Raw genomic sequence first — 21,993 nt, 5'->3', positions numbered from 1 at the left:
AATAGTCCAGGTTGACTGTTTACACTGACTGAACTTACTGAATATTTGCTAAATAGTCACTTCACTTTATTGCTGAAAATACCTCTTGAGGAAATGACATTAAGGAGTTATATCTCTTCTTTGTTAGTGAATAATCACTTCCTTCTAAAGATAGCAATGAAAAATCAACAGTAATTGCCTCTAGAATGTGGTGTCACTCAGAATGTGTAGACAAGTTGAGTTGTCTAATATGTTTTTAGACATAGCTCAAATTAATCAGGTAATTGAAAATCTATACTTTGCCTTGTAAACATATCTTGAAATTCAAGGCATATTAGCATATATGATACTGTACTACTTTTGAGTATGTGTACTAGTCAAGAAGTATAGCATTCCTCTTTGCAGTCAGAAGATATTCTGATCCTTTAAGTGATGTTTTCATGAACTAAATAACACTTTTACACTTTTCAGACAGTTTTTATTACTGTAGAGTTAACCTTGTAGCTTTTAGTTATCAGTTCCTCTATTCATTGTTGTATGCTACCTTATAATTATTAGTTAACGTAAGGGATAAGTATTGTAAAAGTTGACCACCAGGAACTCTGTGTTTTCAGTTTATCATTCATAATAAATAGTTGAAATCAGGAACTCTCAGAAAGTTATTAATTAAAGAATCATTTAAGATAACTTATCTAAATATAAAATCTTCATTTATATAGATCACTAGTATATATAATCATTTGCCCTGAGTATATATATTTCATCAGGTCGAATATTATCCTGTGATTTTGACTTTTTCAGTTTTCCAGTAATTCCAATGAATATAAGTAGTCTCACTCCAAAAATCTCACTTAAAAAAAATTAAAAATAGCCACCATGTTTTTTACAGTTTTCTGAACCAATTTGTGAAAACTCCTTCGAAGAATTTGGCAGTAAAGGTGGCAACTCTCCTTTCCTGAGCTAACTCTTTTCTTTAAAGATAAAAAATTTTTTTAACTAATTATTTTTGGAATGCTTTTAGATAAATAACTGAATAATAAGAATTTGTATTTGTACTTAAAATTATAAGTTTTGAGTTAATATGGAAACACTATTCCTTTTACTGCCCCCATAGGAATAGCTTCATGGCTTTTAATGCTCTGTCTGTAATTGTTGGAAAAAATAAGTCAGGGACCAGTGGTACCTAAGACACACATTTTCATCCCTTTTATCATATGTTAAGTCTTGATCTCCCTTCCTATGGCTGTCTTTACTTCGCTTGCCCTCTGTTAGCTCTATCTGGTTCACTGCCCTTGGTGGGTCTCTCTATGTCTGTTTATTGACTCTGGGTCTCTTTCTCATCTGGCTTAGCCTCTATGCCATGTCTTTATGGCTTCCAGTTTCCCCGACCTGAAGACTCTGTCCTTCCAGCCATGGAATCACATCCCCCCAGCCCAAATGTTTCTGTCTTCTCCTGCCTGACTGTGGTGTGCCTGGGCTCACTTGCCCTTCACTTCCCTTTGATGTGGGCTTTGTGTCTCTCTCAAGCCACAAGCTCACTGTCTGCTCTCCCCTACACATTCTGTGTGCCCCCATGTAAACCCTCTCAGCCTGCTCTGTCTTGTCATAAACAGACTGACAGCAAGTCACCAGTAATAAATCTGTCTGCTGGCCAAAATATTCCCAAAACATACGTCTTCAAAGAAAACTGCATTGCTTTCTAGAGGTGATTTAGAACATCTAAAATGCATATTCTTTGGTACTAAAATGAACTTTCAAAGTGAACATTAGGCACTACACATAAGCCAAATATTATTTATTTATAAAATCTCAAGATGTTCAGAGTTGATTATCAGCACTTTAAAAGCAGGAGTGTAATTTTTTTAAAGTTTTTACTTTTTCGTGTTTCTTAAAATATAGTCTTTTTCCAAAGGAAAATATTTCTATTTAATGATAAATTTTAAGAGATAATTTGTTTGGATTAATGACTTCAGTTTGTAGGTGCAAAAATTAATTTAACTGATATTTGATGTCTAAGTATTCTTTGAGACCTTGTGCTATCATTTCTGTCCATAGTGTCTGTTTAATATCCCCTTCAGCCATACATATCTGACCGTAACTATTCAATATATTGTACCAATAAATGAAAACATCTTATACCAGCTAGTTTATAGATGTTTTGCATAACTGCCTGCCACAATCCTTGACAGAATTCAGTTGTATTATATAATTTCTTAAATTCTAAAGTGCTATAGAAGTGACTTGTTAAAAAAGTTGGGGCAAAAAAAAAAAGTTGGGGCAAAAAAACATACACCCTACCTTAAGCTTTTTGTAGCAATGATTTCTATAAATGAGACTTTTTAAGGAGACCCTAAGTTAAAAGTTATTGATAATCTAAAATCAAAATTGGCATGAAGATTCTTTTGTTCTTAGCTAATATTTCAGAAGTTTTAAGAAAGTAATGTAAACATTTTCAGATTTTTTACTTTTATTTACTTTTTAAAAATTCTCTTCAAGGAAATTTAGTCTTCTGTCAATATTAATATATATGAAATACTAGCTAAACTTCTCCTTCTCAGTTTCCAGATAGAAGGTGATTAAATTTAAAATAAGACATTGTTGGCTGTGTATGATGGCTCATGCCTGTTATCATAGCACTTCGGGAGGCAAAGGTGGGGATAGCTTGAGGCCAGGAATTTGAGACCAGCGTGGGCAACATAGTGAGACCCGTCTCTACAAAAAAATAAAAATAAAAATAAATTAGCTGGGCCTGATGGAGCATGCCTGTCTCAGCTACTTGGGAGGCTCAGATGGGCAGGTCACTTGAGCCTGGGAGGTTGAGGCTGCAGTCACCCATGAGTGTGCTGCTGCACTCCAATCTGGGCAACAGAATGAGACCCCATCTCAAAAATAAAATAAGACATTGTTAATTTAAGGCCACAAATATAAGTGATTAAATATAACCAATATGTAGGAAAGCTGCTGTATGTTAAATTAGAGGTACTCAGTTTGAATATTACAGTGACAAGTATAGTCTTCCATAATCACTGTAGTTTAGATTTTTGCCATATTTTTCTTATGAAGGAGTAATCACTCAGTTATTTATTTTTGCTTTTCTTCAAAAACAATATCAAGCACATACAAATCAGCATAAGTAGCAAGGCTTGAATTTTTAGATAATCCAAATTTAATTATTTTACCAATTAGTTAATCATCTTCAATTCATCCCCCAAAATTAGAGCCTAATTTCATGTCTTACCCCTAATTTGCATTATTCTTGATTCTCTTGAGGCAAGAAACAACTGTAAATATTTATTCTTGAATTACACAAAGATGTATTGAACACCTAATGTATTAGGCACCAATCTAGGCTCCAAGGGTATAAAGAGTATTAGGCATGACTTCTGCCCTCAAAGAGCTCACAGTCTCCTAGAAAGAAGTCTTGTGTTTACTGCAAAGATTCTCTGCTCCTAGTGAGAGAATGATCATTGAAATGGGTGGTGGGGTTGGGAGTAGAGGAAATAAAGGGCTTCTGAGCTCTTTTGGAATCCAAGAGTAACTTTTAGTTCACCAACACCCTTTTTTTTAAATGACACTCTAATGTTATTGAAGAGTTAGTGCATCTTCTGAAAGTATCCACCTTCCTTCCATACTTCATGAAAATCTGACTTTTTACTCTAGATATTACAAACAAGTATATGTTACTTGTCATTTCAAACTCTTTAATAGTTGTATGTCAGCATTTACCAGGAAGATCTTGGGATTTATCATTACTATGGGAAATTTGTATTCTCCCAAATATGTGGACAGTTAATGGCCAGATAAATATTCACAATCACACTGTCTGTAAAATGGGGTAAGACTAGTATCATCTCATTGGGTTATATTGAGAATTAAGTGAAATAATTTATATTCTTAAAACAGTACCTGGCATATAGTAAGAACTTCATAATTCTTCACTTTGCATAGTTTTGATATACACAAATTTTTGCTACCATGGTTTAGTTGAATAACATCAATTCCCCAGACAACAAGATTCAAAGTTCAGTTACCACAATGTATTACCTGTAAATGCATTAAGAACAAACTTTGCCACTAGCCCTTCAGTCCACAGATCTCTGTGTGAATAACAGATGCACATCATGATCAATGGCCAATCACATCACTTTTTTCAAACTCTGTCACTGATTGGTCACTTCATATCTGCTTTCAGTTCATGTACAGATGGCATTGTCTCCCATTTTACAAGAATGGATGATCAAAAGAGAGACTTGACCAACACACATGACAGTGCAGTAAAGAAATGAAGCACTGGAAATGAAATCGAAAGTGTTTATGACAAAAAAGATGAAGATATCCCAGAGAAAGTGACACTGGCAAACAAAAAAGCAAGACAAAAAAAAAAAACTCTCATGTTAAATGAACTCTCAGAGCTGTTTCACAACATTGAAAGTGCAAAGGATAAAATGTTGAAAGCTGATTGAAACTTAAGATTATGACATTTTGCCCAGGCATAGAAAAGATATGGTTAAACCATACCATAAGTGATATGATGAAAAGAAGGCAAGTACTGATCAATCTACTTTAAATAAGTTTTTTTACATAGAAATAAAGCACTTTAATTCTCAGTGTTTCTAATATTTAAATTACAGTGTACTAAATAAAATTAGTTTTATTATTTTTTCTTTTTTATTTTTAGCTGGCAATAGAGGCTTTTTAATATTTTAACAAAATTTTAAAGGTCATAGAAAAATCACAATTTATCCTTTTGATTATTATGATCACTTTGCATGGTTTCAGCTTGTATGGTCATTTTTATAGTCCCTCATCATCCAAAGCAAGGACTTCCTGTAGTTGTTATTAATAATTATTTTGTCCAGCAAGTCAAGTATTATAGTTTTAGGGAAACTGTTCATTGCTTTTCAATATTTGAGAATTTAAAAACTTTGTCATTTCTTTCCTGCCTCTGTCTTTTTATTTTCAAAGTATCTAAGTTCTAATTCTAGTCATATCTTATCATAGGGTTACCCTCAGAGCCTCCTGAGATATTATACAGCAGTACAGTATTTAAACTCCTTATTTTACTATTCTTCAATATTCTACCCTATTTCTTCATTCTCCTAAGTCTTCTACTTAAGTTTCATGCTAACCTTTTCCTTTTATTCTTCTTCCTGCTAATATTATATTCTTCTATACTCTCCTTCAACCCCTGAAAGCCTATCAGTTCTTTAATATATTGTCTTCCTTTCAAAATGACACCTGCCGTAGAACATATCCTTAAGAGAAACTTATTTAAATTCCTTGGCTTCTTCCTTATGTTTCATCTACATGTCTGTCAATCAGAAAAGACCAATGTCTTGCTTGAATTTAAATTATTACAGAAAATTCTATGTAAGCAAAATGTAAAATTCTAACTGGACATTAACTAGATTAGCACTTGCCAACAATGCCATGATTGGCAACAAAATAAGAATTAAGAATAAATACTGTGCATTTTCACTGTATACACTTTTGTACCTCTTGAGCCATGTGATTGTATAGGTGAATATTCAAAAAATAATGAAATTTACATTAAGTAAATCATCATAATAGAAATCTTGCTTTCAGTTTTCCACTCACAGTTGGTTTGATATAATTACTGCCAAGAGTTCTGAGGCTTTCAGAAGATGAAACCTTCATCTGCCTGATGTTTTCTGCACACACATAGAATGATGAGCAGGCTGCTGGGAGCTTGAGGAATGGACTAGAAGCAGATAAATTTTGATTTGGGCATGAGTATTTTGCTCAAAAGAGAGGCTGACAACCTAGTTTGTTCTCTTTAAGACCTTTGGGATTATAGTGAGGTGACTGGAAGAGGATTCAGTTTGATAAGCTGACTGAATGCTGTCTGATTATTTGTCAGGTTTAAAATGCTGAAAGAAGTTTTTAATCTATATATTTAGGTAAATTTTGCTTAGAATTTTTTGTCTGGTACTACCTCTTGAATTTTCCATGGTCATTGCTGCATTTAATGCTAGTTAAAATAAGAGTTCATTTTTCAGAAAAAAAACATCAGTGTGACTCTGTTTGGCTTGTTTCAGTTCATAGTTTCCTAAAGAGATTCCAAGGAAATTCTCAGAGGCCTCAAACTTGTGATGGTAATAGCATCAAAGTCAATTAATTTGGAATCTCTTTAAAAAAATAATAATAATTCTCACAACACTTAAAAGAGTTATCTGCTGTAAACAGAAATTCTTTTCTACTTCTCATGTACTTCTCTGAGTCCATATCACATTATGATTACTAGTTTCCTTGGTCATAAGCTGTCATTTTTGTTAGTATATTTTATTGTGCAGTGCAATGAAAAATTTTTCGTTAAACCAGTTGTGCATCTCCTGCTCTAAAATGGAAGCAGAGTGATAATTTGAATGTAGAACATAGTGACTGCACCCTGACTAGAGTAATCAATGCAAGAACATCCTTAAAGCTTTTCTTCTGTAACAAGGGCAAACTCAGCTAAAAAGTTTGTTTAAATCATGCTTGGCATAACAAGAGCCTTTAAACTTTGTCTATCTCTGACTATCTATGAATATACCTGACTCATCATCATAGTGCCTTTCAACTCAGCCCCACTCAGCTCAACTGCTCTTCCTGCCTTTACAGATATTTAAAATTCCTTAAGGCTTCTGGTGCAGGCTGCAGGGTTTTTATACTTAATATCATTTTATTTTATAGCATAGGAAGTTCATAGCTCATGAATATCTCAGATTTGCAAAATAAAATGGAGGGCCTTTTCTCTGTGTACTCTGTCTCTTTTTGTTCTCTGACTGTGTGGTGGTTGTGTCATATTTGTGTCATGAGCATTTGTTTCAAAGCAGCAATTACATCATTACAGCATTACAAAGCAGCCATTTTTAATATACTAAAAAGAACAGCAGCAAAAAGAAGTAATGTTTTTAAAAAGTCCTCATAATCTTAATCTGAAATTAAAGAAATCAAAGAAATTATTTTAGCAACACTACTACATTATAGCATTTCTCCACATACAAGAGTAAAAGCATCTTGTATTACTGTTATTTACAAATGGCTCTTCTTTCACCCATGTTCTTGTCCTCTGTTATCTCCTATAAAAAATAGTGCTATTATCTATTATGAAAATTATCTTGAAAAGCAATAAATTATCCTATTTAGTAACTACCTTGATTTGATTAGCTCTTTTTCTATGTTATTACAACATAAATGTTCTTATTGTATGTACTTTATTAGTTTTTCTTAATTGCCTAACTTATCTTTGATGCCTCACTTTGCTTTATACAGTTTAGTAAAGATCCACACAAAGGATTGACAATCATTTCAGTGTATTTTCAGGTAGTTTCCAGTGAACTAAATTGTTGTAATGTGTGATGTTAACTCTTTCACTGTGAGGTGGGAGGCATCATTCCTTAAAGTACTCAGCTGCCAGAGTTTTCCTGGATTACTGACTTTACTCCCTGGATCCAGAGAGGGTGTTCCCAGTATCTAGTCTCTGCATCTTGTCTTCTGCCTTAGCCTTTTGTCTTGCTCCTTAACTAATATGATTCTTGAGGTCCTACATCTGTCCATCTTAGTGGCAATGCCTTTACACCAGAATGCCTGGTCAGTGCTAACTTACTAGGACATCTGCAGAGTGGGGAGACGATAAAGATCAGCACCATCTAGTCTGCCCTGCCCTCTCTCTCTGACTTGGATATCATTCTTAGATCTTCTGGTCAGCTCTGTTGCTTTATTGCAGTCAAAAAGAAAAAAAATTTTTTTTTGGAGACTCTGCTACAGAGAACTAGAGCTTCTTATAGACTCTTGAGCAAAGCCATGTCCTCTGTCTCGAGTATGAGAAGCTTTTGGGAGGGATGCATTTGGAGGAATGATGAAGCAAGGATCACCTTCCTATCCAGTGAAATAACTGACCAACAGAATGACATAAAAGGCAGATCACTCGCACATCCAGATGTTTTCATGGACTTACTATACTCAGAGCACTGTGACTAGCTTGTGCATTAGCATGTTACTTGGCACATAGGTATAAAATAAATGGTATGTCTATAATACGAATTTAGGTGGTTCCATATCTCTTAGCTGGAGAACTAAAACATAAAACTCCAGCTGTTTAAGGCAGCAAATGTATGTGAGTGGAAATCACAGTAAGTTTAGAGGGGAGGGACGTCACTGTGGTCCAGAATATAGGGCAAGACTTCTCAAAACGATGAAATTTGAACCAAACCCTACAAGGATGTTGATTCTTAACTCTGTGTTCACTGTTTCCTGCTTCTTATCATTTGTGGATCATGGCAGTTGGTTATGTCTCCTTAGAATAGGGAATTCTTAAGGAGAACCTAATAATAAAAATCCTGATACTTTTTATTTTTTAGCATTTCTGCTTAAAACAACTCTTTCAGAAAACCACTCTTGATTCCAAAGATCATAATAATAGAAAACTTCTTAACTTCCCTTTGGATGAGTATAGTTGTCCTGCTCTACTGACAGTTTCTCTTCTCCCTCATTTAGATTATAAATACATTGGGGACTGGAACCATGTGTTTCCATCCTTACTCTGTAATTCCCCATGGATAAGACTGGCCTGATTCTTACATTGTAATCTAATCACTTACTAAGAGTGATTTTTGTTGAAGGTGGTGGATTAGCCTTTCAAATGCCCCAGCACAAACAGCACCAGTTGTCTTGGGCATTCCCATCAACTGCCTTCCTCTGATCTCTATTCCTGTTCCAACTAAATATGCTCCTGCTTCGTTTCCCTGCTAACCCCATTTCCATAGGACGTTGAATATACTTTTGAGGAAATGGCAAGACTTCCCTTAAGAATATGGGCTTTTCTTTTTGGCAGTACATGCACATAAACTGGGAGATATGCACATTGGTAGATGAGATCTGACCAAGTACAAAGAAAGCCTTAAGTGAGAGCATCCAAGTAAATTTTAAAAACCCATCAAGTTAATATATAGCCTTACTTTTTTTTTTTTTTTTTTTTTTTTTTTTTTGAGACTGAGTCTCACTCTGTCGCCCAGGCTGCAGTGCAGTGGCGCGATCTCGGCACACTGCAACCTCCGCCTCCCGGGTTCAAGCAATTCTCCTGCCTCAGCCTCCTGAGTAGCTGGGATTACAGGTCCGCGCCACCATGCCTGGCTGATTTTTGTATTTTTAGTAGAGACGGGGTTTCACCAGATTGGTCAGGCTGGTCTTGAACTCCTGACTTCATGATCCACCCACCTTGGCCTCCCAAAGTGCTGGCATTACAGGTGTGAGCCACCGTGCCTGGCCAAGGTTACTTTTTAATTTAGTAAATGTTTTTAGCCACTGTGTTTTAACTCAGTTTAAATATAATAAAGCTTTGCTCACATCTATTTGAACTCATGTTTTCTAATTCATTAAAAATATTTTCATTCAACTATTGTTTTTAAACCACTAATGAACCTTTTTCCTGTTCTTCTCTTATGAAAATGGGCTGTTAGCCAGGCGCGATGGCTCATGCCTGAAATCCCAACACCTTGGGAGGCCGAGGCAGGCGGATCACAAGGTCAGGAGATCGAGACCATCCTGGCTAATATGGTGAAACCCAGTCTCTACTAAAAATACAAAAAATTAGCCAGGCGTGGTGGCAGGCGCCTGTAATCCCAGCTACTCAGGAGGCTGAGGCAGGGGAATCGCTTGAACCTGTGAGGCAGAGACTGCAGTGAGCCGAGATCACGCCACTGCACTCCAGCCTGGGTGACAGAGCGAGACTCCGTCTCAAAAAAAAAAAAAAAAAAGAAAATGGCTGTTTTCAGTATGTGGACCTTAGCATATATATTGCTTTCTCTTCTTTATCCCTCTTTGTGATCCAGCTTTCATTCCGTTTGGCAGATACTGATTGCTTCGTGATTTTGAAAAAAATAGCATGTAAGTATACCTCAAGAGAATAGATACCAGCAAAGTTATTCTTAAATGAACTTCTGTATATTGCAAGCTGTTTTTTATAGACTGTCATCTTAAAATCTAATTGAAGGCAAATATGGAAGTCTTTTTACCATTAATGCTACAGAGATTCACTTATTTAACATTAAATAAATATTGCTTGACTTCCTTCCATGTTCCAGGTATAGTTCCACGTGCTGAGGATCTAGCAGTGAACAAGACAGACAGTGACCCTGCTCATAGCCGGCACACATTCTAGCAAGGGTTGCAGTAGAGATACAGATGACACATAACTAAGTACACAGCCTGTAGCGATGGCAGCCAATTTTCTGATTCTTTTTCCTTTACCATTGCTTCAAGGCCATATCTGCAACCCAACCTGTAGTGTTGGGTTGAATTTAGTCTCAAGGTGCTGCCTTCATCTAGGAAGAGGTATTTAAGGGCCCAGGAAGATGAGGCTAGGAAGGAGATGGTAGACTTCAGATGTTTTAGGAGTCCCAGTACATAAGATTTGACACCCTGTGGAGAACAGAAAAAGTCAAGAACAGCTCCTAGGTTTAAGCTTGGATGACTGAGTTATTGATAACTAGTTCAAAAGTCCCGGGATGAGAGGTAGGTTTAGAAGTGTGGATAATGAATTTGACTTGGGGCAGTGAAAAATACAAAACTGGAAATCAGAAGAGAAGTCAGAACTGAAATACAGATTTGGCTGTTATCACCATTTCATGTAAATTTTAAAAGGAGAAGGAGCAAGAAGAGTTGTCACTATAGCCAGATACAGCAGGATGAGGATTTTTTAAAAGGCCATTGGATTTGACAGCTGAAAAATCACTGATGACTTCAAGAAGACCAGTTTCAATAGATGTGGGTGGGGACAGAGCCACATCATGGTTGGTTTAAAGAATGAAGGGCTATGATTGTCTAGCCAAGGTCATTGTGCTCTTCCTCCTAGGAAACATTGAAACTGAGGTCAGAGCCTCTCTTTCTCCCTCCCTCCTTAGCTTTCTGCACACAGGGCCCACAACTGGATGCCTGAGCTAGGGGCATGATGGAGGGACAAATTAAGATTGTTGGGTTTCTGGTGGGATAAGGGCCTAAGGATAAAGGAGCCTGATGTTGGTGAGTCATATATTGCAGGGAGCATCCTCAGTGGGGGACAGTGGGTCAGGCCAGTTCAGAGACCTGTCTCTAGAGTGGGAAAGAGAAGACACACACCTAGATCTCTGTTGGTTGAGGAAACTCTGGACCAAGAAGCTGGGTTAGAATGGGAAACAAAAGGACCTTCAAGGCTAGGGGAAGAAACATGGAATTAGTTACAAAGTTCTGCCCCAGGGAGGGAGTGGAATCTGGCAGTTTGGGGGTGGGGTCGGGGGTAGAATCTGAGGTAGTAAACTGATGTTAACTAGAAACTCAAGCAGGGTTGCCTAGGTTTCTTAGGGCACAGGGACTGGGGATGTGCAAAGAGGAACTGTTGGCAGTACTTGTGACCATAAAGATAGTAGTGAGGGGGCAGTTTATGAATTGAGGGGTCGTCCCAGCAATATCTGGCATATAGATATTTAATAATTATTTGTGAAGACAAGAGGTTAGGTAGCTCCTGGGGATCAGGGTCCAGAGTTTCTGAACAGGCATAAGAAAATACCTGGGTTCTATTCAGGCAGGGGATGGAGGCAGTGAGTAAGGGACTCCAGACAGCTTGGAGATGCAAATCCCACAAGGGAGCTTTGTACCTCTATGGGAGTTGGAAGCAAAGGTCAGGGTAGGGGGCTCACTCCCTTAACCCTAGGACCCAGGAGTTCCTATGGATCTACCAGATTTCCCCGCCTACGCACAGGCACCCTTGGCTTGTAACGCCTTCTCCGCCCACTGGGGGGCGGGGCTTGAGGGGGCCGGTGGCTGTTCTGAAGCCTCGAGGGCCATCAGTTCCTACCAGAGCCGCTGCGGGTGCCATTCCACCCATGGCCGGACACAGGCCCTCAAACCACTTCTGCCCCCTTCCAGGCAGTGGTGGGGGCGGCCCCAGAGGGCCGATGCCCCTGCGGGTTGACACTCTGACCTGGTTGAGCACCCAGGCGGCCCCTGGCAGGGTGATGGTCTGGCCGGCAGTCAGGCCAGGGATCTGCCCAGGCCCTGACGTGTGGAGGATTCCCCTGGGTCCCCTGCCACACGAATTCCGGGGCTGGATAGCACCCTGCAGGCCCCGTCTTGGAGCTAGTGAGGCAGGGGACTGGTTGCGACGCCCCTCCGAAGGCGCCCTCCCGGGGCCCTACATTGCCCTGCGGAGCATTCCGAAGTTGCCGCCGCCAGAGGACATCTCGGGCATACTGAAAGAGTTGCAGCAATTGGCCAAGGAGTTGAGGCAGAAGAGGTTGAGCCTAGGGTACTCGCAGGCCGATGTGGGGATCGCTGTGGGAGCTCTGTTTGGGAAGGTGCTTAGCCAGACGACCATCTGCCGCTTCGAGGCCCAGCAGCTAAGCGTCGCCAACATGTGGAAGCTGCGACCACTGCTGAAAAAGTGGCTGAAGGAAGTGGAAGCAGAGAACCTTCTGGGCTTATGCAAAATGGAGATGATCCTGCAACAGTCTGGGAAGTGGAGACGGGCAAGCAGAGAGCGACGAATCGGAAACAGCCTGGAGAAATTCTTCCAGCGGTGCCCTAAGCCCACACCCCAGCAAATCAGCCACATTGCTGGGTGCCTCCAGCTGCAGAAGGATGTGGTTCGAGTTTGGTTCTATAACCGCAGCAAGATGGGCAGTCGACCAACCAATGATGCTTCCCCACGGGAGATTGTGGGGACAGCCGGGCCTCCTTGCCCAGGAGCACCAGTGTGCTTTCACCTGGGACTGGGGCTCCCAGTGGATATCCCCCACTATACACGTCTCTACTCTGCAGGGGTAGCCCACTCCTCTGCCCCAGCCACCACTCTGGGCCTCCTCAGATTTTAGGGCTGAGGGGCTTGCCCTTCACGGCACGGTTGGAGAGGGGAGAAGAAGGGAAAACCCAGGAAATGTCCCTAGGGTTCATTTGAGGGCTTTTAGTATTAATTTCTCATTCACTGTCTAAAGAAGTTAAGGATACATAGTAGGGAATGGGGGTGGGAATTGTTCAAGAAAAACCTGGGAGAGAAGATGAAGTTTATTGCAGTTTTGTGTTTTCCCTTTGTTTTTCCCTAGCATTGGTTTAAAGGTACATTACAGTATATAGATGGTTTCGATATTTTGTTCCTTTTTTTATTAAATATTGTGTCTGTTATTCCTTGTGGTTATCAGTAAACATAGGGTTTAAATTTTTTCATAAACACAATACTAAGTGAAAAACTCAAGTCACAGAAGACTACCTTAGTATACAATTTTTTACTTAAAATCAAGCAGAACTCTGTGTAAACACAAACACAAAATCCAGGATAATAGTTATCTTGAGGGAATGACTTGAGAATGTGATAGGGAAGAAACACACAGAGCCCACCTAGAGCCCTTGCTGAAACACCTGAGCTTTCTTGGAAGATTTTTTTTTTTTTTTTTTTTTCTGATTTACCTTTTCATTTCTGGTGCCCCAGCTTCATGTCAGGGTCTCAGTTCCTCTCCCTACTTTATGTAGTCCCATGGGACTATGTCTTGTCCTGCCACAGTCACTGTATTCTAAACTCCTTTGTTACTGAGGTTGGCAAGCTGGACTTCAGAGCTTCGGTCCCAGCTGTAGCTTACTCCTCCTGTTTTCACCTCTATTTGGTTCCCTGGGAATTTCCCTTACTTTCTCTTGATCTCTTATAATGGTTTTGAGAGGATATTTGTAATAGTTTATCCAAACTTCCCTGGTGGTTTTTGCCATTAAACGTCAAATAACTCTTCTAATTTCATCTCTGAAATTGGTCTTTTCAGTTTTCCACTTCTACTTTGGTCAATTTTGGTCACCATATACTAAATGGAAACCATTTAGTACCTCTGTGTTTTCAAATCTGCTGTCACACACCTGCATGCTCTATTTATTGTCCTAGAATTCTATCAGTATGTATTATATCAGAGTTTATGTCTTATTTCTGGATAGTAATCTTGTCAATGTTTGCTTTTTTTGTGATCAGTCTTGCAAATGTTTTATCTATAGGTATTTTCAAAGTATAAGCTTTTTTACTTATTCTACTTACTACAATTTTTATTCCCTAGTTAATTAATTTTTACTTCATTCTTCTTAATTTTTTCCTAGTTTCTTCTGGTTTCTTTCATTGTTCTTTTTTAGATAATTTTTAGATGAGTACTTAGTTTCTTTCTTTCTTTCTTTTTTTTTCTGGTGGCTGTATAGAGAATAACTCTTGTGGGCCCAAGAGTGCAAACCAGGAGCCCAATAAGAGACTTAACTCTGGGCCGGGCATGGTGGCTCATGCCTGTAATCCCAGCACTTTGGGAGACCAAGGCAGGCAGATCACAAGGTCAAGAGATCGAGAGTTAACTCTGATCTTCTGACCTCAAGTCCAGGGATAATTTTACTGTCACACAAGTCAGGTGTGACTAAGCTTTTTATTTAATCTTTTCTTCATGAGACTGTAGAAACTTTACCTTTGCCTATTTTTGTGTGTGTGATAAAATATAAAATTTGCCATTGTAATGATTTTAAGTGTAAATTCAGTGACATTAATTACATTCACAATGTTAGGCAACCATCACCACTATCCATTTCCAACATTTTTCCATCACTCCAAACATAAACTCTTCTCATTAAGCAATAACTCCATTCCCCTATCCCCTACCCCTGGTAACCTTTCTGTGAATTTGCCAGTTCTAAGCAGTTCATATTCATGGAACCATACAACATTTGACCTTTTGTATCTGGCTTATTTCACTTAGCACATTTTCAAGGTTCATCTGTGTTGTAGTGTGTATCAGAACTTCATTCCTTTTTTATGACTGAATAATATTCCATTGTATGGATATATACCACATTTTGTTTATCCATTCCTCTGATGATGGGCACTTAGATTGTTTTCATTAATAGCCAATGGGCTATTGTGAATGATACTGCTATGAACATTTACATATAATAATCTATTTGTTTATCTGTTGTTTCAGTTCTCTTGGATGTATACATAGGAGTGGAATTTCTGAGTCATACAGTAATTCTATGCTTAACTTTTTGGGAAACTACCAAACTGTTTTCCATAGTGAAGGCACCATTTTACATTCCCACCAGCAATCTACAAGAGTTCTAGTTTTTCCATATCCCTGGCAACACTTGTTATTTTTTAAAAAATTATAGCCATCTTGGTAGCTGTTAAGTGGTGTCTCATTGTGGTTTTGATTTGTATTTCTCTAATGACTAATGATGTTGAGCATCTTTTCATATGCTTATTGTCTATTTTGTATCTTCTTTAAAGAAATGTCTATTCAAGTCCTTTGCCTATTTTTAAAACTGGGTTGTTTGTCTTTTCTTCATAGAGTCTGGATATTAAGCCCTTATCAGATAGATGGTTTGCAAGTATTTTCTCCCATTCTGTGGGTTGTCCTTTTACTCTTTTGACTGTATCTTTTGATGCAGACAGACTTTAATTTTTATTAAGTCCAGCTTATCCATTTTTTCTTTTGTTGCTTAGGCTTTTCATGTTGCCAAATGCAAAGTCATGAAGATTTGCTCCTGTGTTTTCTTCTATGAATTTTACAGTTTTATTTATTAAATTTAGGACTTTGATCCATTTCAAGTTAATTTTTGTATACGGTATGAGGTAAGTGCCCAACTTCATTCTTTTGCATGTGGATAGCCAGTTTTCCCAGCACCATTTGTTGAGGAGATGTTCTTTCTGCATTGAATGATCTTAGCACCCTTGTCAAAAATCAGTTGACCACACATGTGAGGGATTATTTCTGGGCTCTCAACTCTCTTCTGTTGGTCTATATGTCTGTCTTTATGCCAGTACCACACTGTTTTGACTACTGTAGCTTTGCAGTAAGTTTTGAAATGGGGAAGTGTGAGTCTTCCAATTTTGTTCTTCCATATATATATATATGGCACGTATATATATATGGCATATATATACATGCCATATGTATATATACACACACACACCATTGTGGGTTACTTGAAATTTCATAGGAATTTTAGGATCAGTTTTTCCATTTCTGCCCAAAACACCATTGAGATTTTGTTACAGAGTGCATTGAACCCTCATATTGCTTTAGGGAGTGTTGTCATCTTAGCAATTTTAAGTCTTCCAATCCATGAACACAGGCTGTCTTTCCACTTATGTCTTCTTTAATTTCTTTGAGCAGTGTTTTAGTTTTCAGTGTACAAGCCTTTCACTTTCTTAAAGTTATTTGTGGGCATTTTATTCTTTTGGATACTACTGTAAATGGAATAGTTTCCTTCATTTCCTTTTGAAATTGTTCATCGCTAATGGATAGAAATACAACTGATTTTCCTGTGTTGATTTTGTATCCTGCGACTTATGCAGATTTAGTTCTAACCAGTTTTTTGGTGCATTCTTTAGGGTTTTCTACATATAAATCATATCATCTGTGAATAAAGATAGTTTTGCTTCTTCCTTTCCGATTTGGATACCCTTTCTTTTTCTTACTCACTTGCTCTGGCAAAAATGTGTAGTACTGTGTTGTATAAAAGTAGCAGAAGAGGACATCCTTGTCTTGTTTTTGTTCTTAGGAGAAAAACTTTTAGTCTTTTCACCATTGAGTATGACATTAGCTCTGGCTTTTTCATACGTACTCTACATGTTGAGGAAGTTCCTTTTTTCTTAGGTTATTGAATGTTTTATATGCGAGGGTATGGGTTTTTGACAGTTTCTCTGGAATAAATGAAAAATGCTTAAGGGAAATATGAAATCCTATGACTATTTCATAAGATTATGCTAACTACCAGTACCACTACTTCCTTCCCCAGTACTACCATCACCATTGCACCCACACCTAAGAGACCTAAACTTTTTTTTTCCTCCGACTCTAAGGGTGGTTATTTTTCTGTTTTGAGGGATCTCATTCTCATGACATCTTTGTGTAAGAGTAAATGACTCACCCGGGGTGATGAAAATAAGTTTTAAACCAGATCTTCCATAGTCCACAACATGAAGTAGCCCAGATGTAGCTCAGCTTTCAGGAATGAACTTTTGGTGAAGTACTTTAAAAACAAAAGTCAAGTAAATATTAATGCTGCACTTACATTCTTCTAACTCTTTAAAAAGATTACTTAATTATAAACAAATTGTAACAACTTTAGTTTTCAGAACACACCTATAAGCTGTATTGTTTCAGGTGGACAATGGAGGTGTATCAAGATTACACATATACACTTGTATAAGATTAGCTTGAGTTCCCAGTTTATTTACTCAAGAATATAGAATCACATTGGAAATATGATGGCCACAAAGCAAGTGTAAATGAACCGTATATATCAGCACAGCTTCCCATGGTCCAGCGTCCTTGATGACAATGCCCAAAATACGGCACTGGATAAAAAGTGTGGAAATGAATTCCACACTACAGCTTTTTTATCCTTAGGGCTACATCAGTGCTCAAGAAAAACTTAATGTCTGCTCTTAATGCTTCCATTTAAGAGAATGTTTGGAGATATTAAGCTTCTTCTGGTTCTTGGACCAAACTCACTACAGTGAATCCACAACATCATCAAGCAGAAGAATCTGAATTAGTGCCTGGGTCTCTGATCCCAGCTTACAACATCACAGTGAGACCATTTCCTCCACACAAGCTACAGGGACCCAGCTTAACAAATGTATGCTTTTTCTTCTTGTCAGTGTCTAAAGGTAGAGCACTGAGGATCCACATAAGTTAGTGAAAATAAAGCCAAATCCTAATTGCTTAGCTTTAGATTCTATAGGTGACTAATCACTTGCTGTTGGATTATCCCATTAAAAGTCACACAGCACCAACTCCATTTCCTCCTTTTCCTAGACAGCCCTTCTGGAAAGCCTTAGAAAGGAGATGTTTCAGCAGAGTCAGACCATGTTGAATGCCAGAATAAACAACTCTGATTGTGTTGTGAACATAAGAGCTGTAAAGAGGCACTGACCTCAGCTGCTCCTTCAGTTCTTCTGCAGCCTCTACAGATGTGGAGAAATTGTGATGAGCTCTCAATCTCAGGGAACAGCTCCTAGAGTCCATCTCAGCCCCCGCATAGCTGCATCATTGACACAGCTGCCCCACCTCTGCTTAGGCAAAGCCTCTATGTGTCACTAATCAGCTTCACATAATTTAAAAGATTTTCTATCACTAGATCTCTTGACTTGCTGTGAAAAGAGAAAAGGCTGGACCTTAGGGAAAACTTCATACTGAAGTGATTTCAGATTTTTCAGAGATTTAAGATGATATGTAGAAACTTTAATCAGAAGATCCCTTAAACAGAAGAATAACTACCCTTAGAGTTGGGAGAAAACCAAGACTATATTGTTAAGTAGTTAACAATGTTAAATGTTACAGAGATCAAGTAACATAAGAAATCAACCAAGATACATTGGCCAGGTGCGGTGGCTCATGCCTGTAATTCCAGCACTTTGGGAGGCCGAGGTGGACAGATCACTTGAGGTCAGGAGTTCGAGACCAGCCTGGCCAACATGGTGAAACCCCGTCTCTACTAAAAGTACAAAAATTAGCCGGGCATGGTGGTGTGCACCTTAATCCCAGCTACTCAGGAGGCTGAGGCAGTAGAATCGCAGCCTGGGCAACAAAGTGAGACTCTGTCTCAAAAAAAAAAAGCAAAAGAAAAAGAAATCTACTAAGCCATATCATTTCAATAACTAAGATGCCATTGATACCTTTAGTAATAATTTCAGTGGCATAATTAGTAAAGGCAGATGTCAAACACTCCAAAGTCTTCATATTTGCCCAGATTTTCCCCTGCCTTAATTTTAAAAATAAATTTCAACTCCCGACTCCAATAGATCTTCACTGTCATTCTGAAAATGTTTCATTATCAAACATTTTGGTTATCTTGTATTTCCTATAGACAAGGCAAGTATTTTTAATCTGAAGATGCTGAGCCCCTTTAGAGTATAAGCAGAATAATGTTTTTGTACATATGTGCATTTTCTTTAAAGATGGTTCATAGCCTTCATCACATATTCAAAGAGGACCGTGGCTCTTCTTTAGATCTACAGTTTCAGAATTTAAGAAGCACCTTCCCTTTTGCCACTTTTTCAAATGATTTCTTTTGACAGTACCTATATAATAGGTAATTTCTGGTTTTCTTTGAATCTATATTTTCTAGATATCACCAGCTCAGTGTCATATGAAGGCCCTGAGTTGCATTTTACATAAGTCTTGTAAGTTCAGACTAAATAATGTATTGATTATTGCCTTTCTTGTTCTTACACTTTTATCAATCCTTGGCACTTTAATTAAAATCTTATCATAAGGAACAATTTCTCTTTTTCCTAGAAGTTTTCTTATTCTCTAAGAAATCATGAGGTGTTTGGATACCTGCCCTTATTTCAAAGCATGATCTTTTTCTTGAATTAGCATCTGTTTCGATAATTTAATTTTTTTGAAAGAGATATACTGTATATCCTTGTTTATTATACCAAGTCTGTCTCATGGGGATTTGTTTTTCAGAATAGCCACTTTTGTTTATGCCTTTCTTCTAGAAATAGTCTTGCCTACTAAACAGTATTGGTTTTCTTGGCAAAATCTATTCAAGATTAATTCTTTTCAGAATGCAAAATGGTGTTATTTATGTCAAACTGTGTTTTTAAAGTGAAAACTACAAAACCATTGCAATTAAACCTAGTGGAAATGTCCTTGACAAAGTGATTCTAAACTGAAAGAATAAAACTTAGGAAGATAGTTAAGGAAATTTCGAAGGTAAAGATTTAGGTGGCCAATTATTTAACAGTGTGACGGTGGTGGTGGTTATGGGCAAAATAACGTAAACAAATATTTATTTATTGGAAAGTGAATTGGTGCAACCTTCATGAAAGGCTGTTAGGTAATTCATATGGAAATCTTTTAAAATGTGCATTTCCATTGGCCCATCATTTCAACTTTTAAGAATTTTTATAAGAAAATAATTGTGTGTAGCCAGGTGCAGTGGCTCACTCCTGTAATCCCAGCACTTTGGGAGGCTGAGGCGGGCAGATCACAAGGTCAAGATATCAAGACCATCCTGGTCTACATGGTAAAAACCCATCTCTACTAAAAATACAAAAGTTAGCTGCGTGTGGTGATGCATGCCTGTAGTCCCAGCTACTCAGGAGGCTGAGACAGGAGAATGGCGTGAACCCGGGAGGCGGAGGTTGCAGTGAGCCAAGATCATGCCCCTGGACTCCAGTCTGGCAATGGAGCAAGACTCCGTCTCAAAAAAAAAAAAAAAGGAAAGAAAAGAAAATAAGTTTGTGTGTGTGTGTAAGGATTTAGCAAAAAGAGTGGTCATGCAGAAATTTTTTAAAAAGTTTAACAACAAAAAATTAGAAACAACCTAAATGTTTAACAAAGGGTTAAGTAAATAAAATTAAACATGATAGAAAGTTAAAATTATATTATAAAACCACAGTTTTGATAGAAAGTTCAGAGTTAATTGTTGAATGAAGCAAAACAACTTATTAAACTTTATACCATTTTTAGAAGATATATTACATAGAGAAAAAAATATAAATGTATGTACAGGTATTGGAATTATTAGTGATTTTTTTTTTAGAATTTTTGCTGTATGTATTTATTATACAATTTTAAACATCCAAGAAATATTTTTAAAGGAAGGCTCTAGGAGATCTAGAGTTCCAAAAGATACACATTCTCCTAGTCTTCTTTGTTTCTAAAGTAGTAATTTCTCTTTACAAAGCCATATTTAAAAGAGTAAATGTGACCTATTCATTTTTAGTCACATTTTTAGTTTCTGTAAAAGAAAGGCAATTATCTAAATGGGGGAGTACGGAGCCATATACATGAGAAAAACATTGCTAAAAATTAAGGTTTGGGTTTTTTTTTTTTTAATCAGAGGCCCATTAATGTTAAAGAGCTTCAGTGTAGCACAGTGAGTGAAGACACCTGCCATATGTCTGTTTTTCTGCACAACATGGTAATTTACAATTACAATTAGTGTGTTTATATACCTCTGTAGTTAACCCATATTTAGAACATAATGTAAGCCCAAATCATTTTCATGTTTCTGAATGTTCACTTTTCAATTTTAAAAAGCATTTGAAAATATCAAAATCCTGATTTTAACACAGTAGAATCTTCTTTGCTTGTCATTTTTGAAGAAACCAAATGAATATAAATGAGCTCTATGGATTTCTAAGTTGGAAGGCAAGGTCAGTTCCTGTGATTACATCCCCAGCCAGATGAAAGATGAACTGTCATGAACTGAATCCACCCCAATACCCAGTGAAATCCTTAAAACAAGTCATTAGCATGATCATGGCGACACCAGTGAACAGAAACATGACAGGAAGCTTTGGGAGAGGCTACATGGTTTATCGAAGGGGCTACCTCTAGAAAACAGTCTGTTAAGCTGCCACTGTGCCACCTCACTTTCCAGCTAGGAGCATAGCTATGAGGCAGAATTAGCTACTTCGGTCTTGAACCTTGGACTTAGGTTTTCTTCCTGCAGCTTCCAACAAAATGACAAAATACAAACTAGCTTCACTTTCTGCTATCAGCTCTTCTATTGCCAAAGACTGTGGTTGGAAAAGGAAACGATGGGGCCTTCCTGAGATTTCACTGCATTTAAAAATCAATATTCTTTTTTAAAACTGTGCAGCCTGAATGTCATTTCTTCTTCAAAGGAATAACTGTATTGCTTAACAAGTAGTCTTCCTTTTCCTTTCAGGATGTGTAATGTAGACCATCTTCTAGGACTAGGTTGAGTGGCCAGGACAGTGTATAAGATGCAATGGGTTGATTCATTATTTTAGAATGGATGATAATGTTCCTAGATCTGCTTTAAAAGTTTGAGTATTATTGATTGAGTAGTGGAAAATCTTAACATATACCTTTTTAATTGAAAGAGAATTTGTTTCAGCATGCCACGCTGTTAGTTTTCTAGGACTGCCAAACAAAGTACCACAGATTGGGTGGCTTGAACAACAGAAATTTATTTTCATGCAGTTCTGGAGGCTAAAAGTCTGAGATGAGTTTGTGGGCAGGGTTGGTTCCTTGTGAGGGT

The 21,993-nt window shown here is 37.7% G+C and overlaps 2 protein-coding genes across 25 annotated transcripts in view; both read left to right on the top strand.

Annotated features, from left to right (window-relative positions):
• The window catches only part of ARB2A (ARB2 cotranscriptional regulator A), a 493,975-nt gene that overhangs the window by 358,296 nt on the left and 113,686 nt on the right, over nucleotides 1–21,993 (top strand). For 2 of the 24 annotated variants that reach the window (XM_047417812.1, XM_005272103.5), the window contains one exon: nucleotides 9,832–10,056. The exons of 21 other annotated variants lie outside the window; for them this stretch is intronic. In XM_047417812.1, the coding sequence (XP_047273768.1) occupies nucleotides 9,832–9,890 (59 nt within the window). In that variant the 3' untranslated portion in view covers nucleotides 9,891–10,056. Of the gene's footprint in view, nucleotides 1–4,171; nucleotides 7,135–9,831; nucleotides 10,057–21,993 lie in introns of those variants that run through there. One more of the 24 variants, XM_017009954.3, reaches the window with a different exon arrangement.
• On the top strand, nucleotides 11,804–20,184 carry POU5F2 (POU domain class 5, transcription factor 2). Its single transcript, NM_153216.2, has one exon. The coding sequence runs from the start codon at nucleotides 11,841–11,843 to the stop codon at nucleotides 12,825–12,827; it is 987 nt and encodes a 328-aa protein (NP_694948.1). The 5' UTR covers nucleotides 11,804–11,840; the 3' UTR covers nucleotides 12,828–20,184.

The sequence above is a fragment of the Homo sapiens genome, chromosome 5, assembly GCF_000001405.40.
Source record: "Homo sapiens chromosome 5, GRCh38.p14 Primary Assembly".
In the NCBI taxonomy this organism is placed as follows: domain Eukaryota; kingdom Metazoa; phylum Chordata; class Mammalia; order Primates; family Hominidae; genus Homo; species Homo sapiens.
Note: the sequence above shows the minus strand (reverse complement) of the source record. Positions and strands in the feature narration are given on the sequence as shown.

Bases quoted from the DNA above. Each gene is read 5' to 3' on its own strand.
- POU5F2 (NM_153216.2), top strand. From the start codon at position 11,841: ATGGCCGGACACAGGCCCTCAAACCACTTCTGCCCCCTTCCAGGCAGT.